A 9,855-nucleotide genomic window follows, 5' to 3' on the forward strand; every position below is an offset into this window, starting at 1 on the left:
AGAGAGACCTAATTCCACAACAGGTTAGTATAAAAGGGGTAGAGTACTGTTTGGGGAGCCAGGAGAGACGTGGTCCAGCACAGGGCAGGAGCATAGCAATTCCTCAGGAGCTGTGCCCATTTTTTTCTGTTTGTTTGTTTTGTTTTGTCTTTTCCTGAAACGGAGTCTCACTATGTTGCCCAGGCTGGAGTGCAGTGGTGCGATCTCAGCTCACTGCAATCTCCGCCTCCTGGGTTCAAATGATTCTCCTGCCTCAGCCTCCTGAGTAGCTGGGATTACAGGCACCCACCACCATGCCTGGCTAATTTTTATTTTTTGTATTTTTAATAGAGATGGGGTTTTGCCATGTTGGTCAAGCTGGTCTCGAACTACTGACCTCAGGTGATCCACCCGGCTCGGTCTCCCAAAGTGCTGGGATTGCAGGTGTGAGCCACTGCGCCCAGCCAGGAGCCGTGCCCGCTCTTTCCCAAACAGCTGCCCAGCCTACCCCTCCTCTCCTCCACGCGGCCTCTCAAGACCTTGCTGGAGGTCCTGGGCAGCTCAGCTCTGACACACGTGACTGTTTCGGTCATGGTTCACACTGGGCAGTCTGAATGTGAAATTAGGGTGATTGACAATCACGCCAGGTGCCACCCTAGCAAACCACGAACTTCTGTCTCCCTCGCTCTGACTTATAAACCCTCCTTGGCACAAGAAAAGCCAGTGGTTTGCTAAATAGAGAGCCATTATTCCCTCCAAGCATTCTCCTTGGAGACAAGAACAAGTTTCTCCCTATGGGTCAATTCAGCTGCAGAGAAAATACTTTCTAGTCTTCCATGTATATAGTCAGAAGGAAGAAAGGAAATAGGCACATAAATAAATGCACATTTTGTGGGCAGTCTTTTTGTGCCAGGAAATAACATGTTCAATGTTATTTAACTTAAGCCACACAGGTCTGTAAGAAAGGTGGGGTTTCCCCCTGCCGTTTTTGTTTTTTTTTGTTTTTTTTTTTTGAGACAGAGTCTCACTCTGTCATCCAGGCTGGAGTACAGTGGCTCTGTCTTGGCTCACTGCAACCACCACTTCCCAGGTTCAAGTGATTATCCTGCCTCAGCCTCCCAAGTAGCTGGGATTACAGGCACCTGCCACCAGGCCTGGCTAATTTTTGTGTTTTTAGTAGAGACACGGTTTCACCATGTTGGCCAGGCTGGTCTCGAACTGCTGACCTCAAGTGACCCACCTGCCTCGACCTCCCCAAGTGCTGGGATTACAAGCATGAGCTACCATGCCCAGCGGTTTTCCCCGTTTTACGGATGAGGAAATTGAGACTCAGAGAGGTTCCCAACTGGTGGGTGGTAGGGTCAGAATTTTAACCAGCCAGTCAGCTTGTCTGACATTATGTTCCAAACTTTTCAGAGAACAAATCACCCATATCTCTAAAAGGCAAGACACAAGGTATACTCAGAAGGCCATTTACCCTTCAAATGAGGACTCAACTTGAGGCTGGAGACATATGGCCCCTTCCTTCACAGCATTTTTCTGTTTTACTTTGGACCTTTTTGACATTTTTCATCAGTGGGCTGCTGCTGACTGGTTTTGATAGGCACATTTTTATTTACATGCAAATTCTCAGCAAGCAGCTCACATGTAAATACTATACTAATTATTAAACTTGTATGGCTCATCAGAATGCTGCATCCTAATTGGCTGCAAGATTGTCGATAACCGACAGTAGCCTGATTTGGAGCCTTACCAGTTTTCACATCTGCATAATAAAAGGGAACAGGAGGTTGAGAGTGTATACCTATTTTATATGTGTTTCTTCAAGGTCAAATAATCTTTTATTTCCTTCCCAATCTACATATTCATAAAGACCTTTGTGCAATTAATGAGACGGAAGATTAAATGGTTGCAGATTAAGAACAAACCCTACTATTCTAATTAGAGTAAAAGTTACTTAGTCAATCAGATTAGAATTCCAGATTCAAACTAGCAAACACCGAGGCATAATAACGCCAGCACACACCGTCCCCCTGACTGAACTGGTAGCTGACACACAGCTAGTGCAGCCGGGCAGGAAAGCCATGAGCCCTGGGAATTCTTTTTGCCTTTGCAAAGACCCTTCTAAGTGCCGCCAATGGTGGAAAAATTGAGAGTAGGGGATGGAATCTCATCTCATCACATCACATCACAACAAGGCAACATTGTTTGGCCCCATTGGGGTTACAAGAAGAAAGAGTCTGCCCACATCAATTGGTTTGTGATTTTCCCCAGAGTCCTCTTTGGGGAACGTTAAGGAGTTTTGGCAAACAATGAGTACTTATGGATGAGGTCTTGGGGCACTGGGGCTGGGTACAGAGATTTAAGATTCGGTCCCTTCTGTAAGGGAGCTTGCAGTTTCCTTTGGGACATCAAGACCTGTACATCTGGAGATGATTTTGAACGAGGTCTTCACTTGGGCTCCACAGACGGCCGGAGCAGTGTTTCTGGTTGTTGCTCTTGTTGTTTTGTGTTGTTTTGTTTTGTTTTGTGATGGCGTCTTGCTCCGTCATGCAGGCTGGAGTGCGGTGGCACCATCTCGGCTCACTGCAACCTCTGCCTCTTGGGTTCAAGTGATTCTCCTGCCTCAGCTTCCCAAGTAGCTGGGATTACGGGAGCGCACCATCAAGCCTGGCTATTTTTTTTGTATTTTTTTACCAGAGATGGGTTTTTGCCATGTTGGCCAGGCTGGTCTTGAACCTCAGGTGATCCCCCCACCTCGGCCTCCCAAAGTGCCAGGATTACAGGTGTGAGCCGTGGCGCTTGGCCACGGAGCAGTGTTTCTTGAAGTACGGGTCTAGAACAAGCATCTAAACAACTTCAGGCCAAAATGCAGATTCCCTGTCACCCCAGACCAGCTGGTAAAGCTGGAACATCTGTATTTTTGACAAGCCCCTGATGATTCTGATGCACATTGAAGTTTAGAAACCACTGGCTTGAAGAGTCCCTGAATGGACTTCAGCGAATCCACAGACGCCCTGACATTGCAGACATTTTATATTTTATGTACATTTTTCTAGAAAGAGGTCCATAGCTTCCATCAGGTTCTCAAAAAGTGTCCATGCTCCAGAAAAAGGTTAATATCCCTAGAATAGCAGAAAGGGATTAGGAGAGGGGAATCCAGCAAACCAGCAGACACTGGCCACATATGACCCAGGGCAAATCATGGAACCTGAAGTTTAGAGATATCCCCAGTGCAGTGCGGTGTTGGCGATTCTTTCCTTCAGCCCCAGTGGTGCAGGCAACAGCACTACAGGAGCTCAGAGGAAAGAGCCAGGGTGAAGCGATGGCCTGGACGAGAGCTCTTCCCAGCAGAGGAGGGTTCGTCTGGTCCACAGAGGAAGGGCAGTCCAGCTTGCTCACGCGGGGTTTGCATAGCCAAGGCACCAGCCAGGCGGGGACACGCACACAGGGAGCACTGGGAGTGTGAGTCTCCTCCTCTCTCTTTGCCCTGTCTCTCCTTTGCCTCCATATTCTCAGGAAACTTGGAGCTTGGTCCCATTCGCACCTGAAGCAGATGGTGCACCTTCTCCGTCCTGAGTGCCGCCCTTACCCAGCGGGGGCAGGAGTCCTCTCCAGACTTTCTGCAGGATCGCTAATGAGATCAAGTCTGCCTGTCTGGAGGGGCGATTATCCTGCGGCAATGGGTTATTACCTTTTACAAGTGGCGCTCGGCCTTCCCCGCTGCCTGCGCGCCTGGGGCGCACACACCTGGGCGGGGACAGGGCAGCTGCTGAGAGCCACTCAGCAGCTGGCAGCTCATTAGCAGACGCAGCCTCGCCAGCGGGCAGAGCCAAGTGGGGGACAGCACTCGGGCCTGTCTGGGCCTCAGGACCAGATCGCAGGAGGAGAGTTGCAACCCCAACCACCCTGCCCCCAGCCCAGCTCAGCCCTGGAATTGGGGCCGGGGATTCCCTACCATGCAGGGGTCCGGGCGTCTTAGAGAGGCAGGGTCCTCATTTTTTGTGGAAGGCTCTGAGGCCCTTGCCCTCCCTGGCCCTAAATGAAAACCCTTCCTCTGGGCCCGCGGGACAGTGAAGGGAGGCATCAGGTCTCCAAGCAGGTTTACCCTCCACTCTGACCTGCGGCTCCTCGTCCCTGAAGCTCAGGAGAAGCCTCTAAATTGCAATCCATCTCCCCCAGAGATGGATTTTCCTGCCCCTCCCTGTACATCCCATTGCTCTGGGGTCAAGCTGGCATGCTTGCAGAGACAGAGGAAGGGGAGGCACGGGGGCGGGGGGCGGGGTTAGCGCAGTGCCTGGACACGCCCACTGCCCCGAGGAGGCCCCGCCCACAATCTCCGGGCCAGCCTGCAGGGAGGACCCGCAATCTTAGAGCCAGGTGCCACGCGCTTTCCCCATCACTCTTCCCCCACGTTAACCTCCGTCCACCCGCTGTGCTGCACTCCCCAGCGCGGGGCCTATGGAGGCTGCCAGCTTCCTGCGGCCCCCACACCTGTTTTTGCTGCAGCTGCGTGCAGGCCTCTGGGGGTCTGCCAGGGCTTTCGGGAGGTCCACGTGGATGTCTCTATCCTCGCCCAGTGAAGGAAGCCTCCTCACACTCTGCCTGAGCACCTGTCCTTTGGCTTTGATCTTCGTCCAGACCCAAAGCCCCACATATTGTCTTTCATATTATTCGGTGGGGGGAGAGGGGTGACTGTGGGAGGGGAGAAAGAGAGAACGGAGAGAACAGTTGTCTGCACCTGGGTCATGGTCTGCAGCATCAGATAAGGGGTAAAAGACACCCAGATAATCCACACTCCCCACCCAGCTTGGGGCCTAGAGAAGCAGAGGCAGGGAGGCCTCATGGACGGTGTCTCTGCTAGTCTCCTCTGGCTGCCCTAACAACACGCCACAACACACCACAACACACCACAGACCCGGTCGCTTAAACAACAGAAGCATGTTTTCTTAGGATTCTGGCAGCTGGAAGTTTGAGATAGAGATGTTGGCAGGCTTGGTTTCTTCTGAGGCCCCTCACTTTGCTCTGTAGACCGCCACCTTCTTCCTGTGTCCTCACATTATCTTTCCTTTGTGTCCAAATGTCCTCTTCTTCTAAGCACACCAAGTCAGGCTGGATTCGTAACCCCCAATGACCTCATTTTAATTTAATTACCTGTCTCCAAATATGGTGACATTTGGAAGTACAGGGAGTTATGACTTCAACAAGAACTTTGAAAAAGGACGCAGTTCAGCCCATAACAGTCTCCCAGGGACCCCACAATTCCTCCAGGGTTTGCCAACCTCCAAGGCAGAACCTGAACCCCTTTCCTGGGGAGTTCCCCCGTCTAGGTGGAGAAGCAGCAGTGAAGGAGGCAGTCATGTGTCCAGGTGCAGGGAAAGCCTCTTGTTCTCCGAGCCGGGAGATCCTGGAAATAATTGTGAAAGGCCGTCTGATCCAGGTGCCGGTTCCAGTGGGGCATCAGGGAATCTTTCAAGTTAACCTGTTTTTTTGTTTTTTGAGACAGAGTCTTGCTCTGTCGCCCAGGCTGGAGGGCAATGGTGCGATCTCGGCTCACTGCAACCTCCGCCTCTCAGGTTCAAGTGATTCTTCTGCCTCTGCCTCCCAAGTAGCTGTGTGCAGCACCACGCCCAGCTAATTCTTTTTTTGTATTTTTAGTAGAGATAGGGTTTCACTTTGTTAGCCAGGCTGGTCTCGAATTCCTGACTTCAGGTGATCCACCCGCCTCGGCCTCCCAGAGTGCTGGGATTACAGGCGTGATTAACCTTCTTCAGTTGAGCATTTGAGGAGGCCTCCCCTAGAGAAGCACACACCCAACCTGATGCTATGAGGCAGGTTTCCTTATCCCCACTTTACAGAATAGAAAAGTGAGGCATGGAGTCACCCAAGAATCAGGAGAGCCAGGATTTGAACCCAAATTGTCTAGTCCTGGAGCTCAGGCTTGGACTTGAAGAACTTGAAGAAAACGTGAATTTAAAAAAATATATATCAAAGTGGAAAAAGCTTTTTAAAACATAACACGCAACCAGAAGCATCAAACCAGATACATTTAACATCATTCACAGAAACCGCTTCATGTCCTATAATAACAATAATAATGGCCACCGCCACAACTCAGACAAAAGACAAAAGAAGTGCCAGGGAAAACCACTTGTAATATACAATAATTTCCATTTTCTTTAATATACAACGAGCTCTTCCAATCAATAAGAAAAAGTACAACAACCCAAAGGAAAAATGGGGTGGGAGGCAGGGAGAAAAGCTGTGAGCAGACAGTTCACAGAAGAAATAGAATTGGCTATGAATCATTTCTACGTGCAAAGTCACCCAAGGACACTCATAGTTAAAGAAATGCAAATCAAAATGCTGACTCTCCATTTTCACCTGTCAGATTGGCAAAATGGAAGAGACTCACAATTCTAGTACTGATGAAAGAACGGCAAAAGGGAATTTTTTTCTATATTTTGGGAGAAAATATAAATTGATGGAGCCTGTTTTAGGGCTATCTAGGTTCTGGCAAAATTGGCACTGCAAACACCATTCCACCCGGCAATGCGTTTACTAGGCGTTATCTACCCCAGAAACAGACTCACAGGAATGCTTACGGCACCAGCCTTTGAGAGAGTAACCATCTAGAAACAGCCTAAATGCCATGGATGGGGCAATGGCTGAATGAATTATGCCCCTCTTCCCCTGGAAAGGAATTCTACACAGGTATAAAAAAGAATGAGGTTGGCCATGCGTGGCAGCTCACGCCTGTAATCCCAGCACTTTGGGAGGCCGAGGCGAGTGGATCATCTGAAGTTAGGAATTTGAAACCAGCCTGGCCAACATAGTGAAACCCCATCTCTACTAAAAATACAAAAAAAAAATTAGCTGGGCGTGGTGGTGCATAACTGTAGTCCCAGCTACCTGGGAGGCAGAGGCAGGAGAATCACTTGAACCTAGGAGGCGGAGGTTGCAGTGAGCCAAGATCGCACCATTGCACTCCAGCCTGGGCAACACAGCAAGACTCCGTCTCAAAACAAAACAAAACAAAACAAAGCAAAACAAAAAAAAGCAGAATGAGGTTGATACCTAAGTTCTGGAGTTGGCAAAAGGTGGGTGGATCTAAGATCTATTTATTAGGTGAAAGTGTGGAGCGCTGAGCAGTGTGGTGCTGGGAGTGATCCCATCTGTGTGAGAACGTGAATAAAGGAAGGTACCTCCAGGCAACGGCCCTGGGAGTAAGAAGTTTGCCTTCTGTGGTCTCCACTCTGTATCGTAGGGTTCTCAGACTCTGGTGCCTCAGGGTCCCCTGGAGGTCTTGTTCAAACACAGTCTGCTGGGCCCACCCCCAGGGTGTCTGATTCAGCAGGTCTGGCGGTGAGTGGTGAGGTGGGGAGGAGGCAGAATCTGCATTTCCAGCAAGTTCCCAGGCAAGGCTGCAGCCGCTGCTGCTGCTCCAGGAGCCCCACTTTGAGAAGCCCTACCGTAGTGTTCACATTTGGGCACCATGTGCAAGTATCGGTTTTATAGTATTTTTTAAATAATAATTTATGAAAATGATCCCTGGGCCAGACTCTTCTCCACCCACGCCAGTGGTTTGTTGTCTTCACCTTGTCGGTCGGGAAACCACTCCCTGTGTCTAAGCCCCGTCTCTCTGGCTTCGTTCCAACCACCGCCTCTCCGCAGTGAGGTCAGCTACTCACAGGAAGGATAAGCCACGCTTAGAACAAAGCTCCCACCCACTGGAAGACAATGACCAGACCCCCGCCCCTTGAGCCTTCTGTCTAAGAGCAGAGCTCCAAACCCTTATTTTCGGCACTAGAGCAGCCCTTTCCTGGTTGCATAATCACAAGCCTCAGCCTCAGCTTCCCGCTCCTTCCCCCTAAGCTAGAGGATGTGCAAAAGGAACGCTGACACCTGTGTCTGTGGAAAGGTTATGACTTCCCTGTGACGAGCCAGAAAGCTCAGAGCCCGACTTGCAGGAGCCTGTGCACCCAGAGACTTGCCATTATAAAACCAAGAATGAAACTGTGCATTGGGAGGAGAGGACGTTGGAGTCCTCCTTCAGAAGGCCGGTTCTGTCTCATGAACCCCGTTTGAACCTCTTGGCTGTGAAGGTGAAGGCAGGGTCTTGGGACAACCTCCAGGTCACCCCAGGAGGAGGCCCCAGCAGTGGGGCTCTGATCACTGTGGCAACCCAAATTCCCTGCTCAGAGGTTCTAGACACTCTCTGCCCTCCTTGCCCCTAAATAAGTGGAATTGAGTCATGCCCACGGTCCTCTCCCATCCAGCACCCCTATGAAGCTGGTGGCCACCATGCAGAGCCCAGAGAGGGACATCTCACCCTCAGTGTCCTGAAAATCATGTAGTAACACAATGCCTTGGAGCACATACCTGCTGAGTGGAGTGGCAGTGTCCCTTGGCCACCCGGTCCCTTCTCATGCACCTCACAGCCTCACAGAGGGGCTGCTCCCAGCCCCCTCCCGACCTGCCTCCAGCAACCCACCTCCCCCTTTCCTCCTCCTCTCTCCTTCTGCCCAGGGAAGCAGTGACCCATCTCCCCTCTGTCCATCCTTCACATGCTCCCTCCATTTCTGCTTTCAAAAGAGGGAGAAAACATTTTGATTATGAAGCATTTCCAGGGCTGTTTAGGTTTGCCATTGCTAGGTCTTTTGTTTGCCTTTCCTCCTAGCCTCCACCTGGGTTGAGGCAACATTATTATCTCCTCTGTACAGGTGAAGAAATGCTAATTGAGAAAGGCCACGAGACGGCCAAGTTCAGACACCCATGCGGCCTGGAGCAGGGCAGAGGCCCTGCCACCTAATCGCAGGGCCTGGCGGTGTGCGGGACACAGAGACATCGGACCCTCGTTCCAGAGCCAGTGACTGCTGGAGGGAGACACGAGCGCCCCGTGGTAGCAACAGAATTGAAGAGGGTGAGAGTGCAAATCCTACCTGGTCAGAGGCAAATCCTACCTAGGTCTGAATTGAGGGATGATGAGGAAGAAGGGAGGTGGGCAATGGTTGAGTCAGGGCTTCATCCTCTGTACTTCTACCAGCCTTTTAACCCTTCAGTTGTTCTCACAATCGTATCCTCACTTGATTCCTAGAAGCACCACGGGTAGTCGGGAATGTCAGGGGAACCATGGCTCTTGGGCACAGAGACGCATCCCAGGTCACACTGCTTGGCTGTGATGACTTCAGTGAGCTCTTTCTAGCCAGGGGATATGTTATAGGCTTTGTGAGTCCAGTGTCGAGAAGCAGGAGGCCCTGTTCTGCCCGGTGGCCATCTGGGAGTGGGGTCACTGTGACCCTGCTGTGTGTGGCCAAGGTGGCAAGGAGCATCGAGTCCACTGAGACCAGACAGGAGCCCACTCCGCTCCTGCCCCGCCTCCACCTCCCACCTCACCACCTGGTTTTTGTTCCAGGCAGCCACATTTCTCAGCTTTCCCCCAAGCTGAGACCTGGAGGGGATCCAGTTTGACCAGTGAGTTGCACGTGGCAGGGTGCCGGGACGCCTGGGGAAGTGTGGTGTTCCAGACACAGCCACCGCCCTGTCTCCTCGCTGCTTCCTGCCTGAATGCAGAAGCGGAGTCCGGCTGGGGGTGGCCATCTGGCGACTCTGAGGACAGAGTCTATGCTTGGGATGGCAGAGCCGGATGCTCAAAGGAGCCTGGATCCCCAGCACTTCCTCATGTGGCTCCACCAGCCCTGCCTGCTTCTGGACTTGCTCTATAAGAAAACGAAACTCCTGTCAGGTTCAGTGGCTGTGGTCGGCTGTGGTCAGGGGCAGCTGAACAGAACTTGAAGTCTCAAAGGTCATGAAGCCCATCAGAAAACAGGAGCTCCCTGGCGCCTGCAGCCTCTTGGTCTCAGATCCAGCTCCTGG

General features: G+C 51.4%; 1 annotated feature.

The window, feature by feature from the left end:
• Window positions 9,546-9,855: an enhancer, noted in NCBI's record as "active region_10154". NCBI's record gives its function as "activates an Ori minimal core promoter by ATAC-STARR-seq in GM12878 lymphoblastoid cells {active_cell/tissue: GM12878}" and the evidence as "EXISTENCE:reporter gene assay evidence [ECO:0000049][PMID:35858748]".

Source organism: Homo sapiens, chromosome 15 (assembly GCF_000001405.40).
Source record: "Homo sapiens chromosome 15, GRCh38.p14 Primary Assembly".
NCBI lineage: Eukaryota > Metazoa > Chordata > Mammalia > Primates > Hominidae > Homo > Homo sapiens.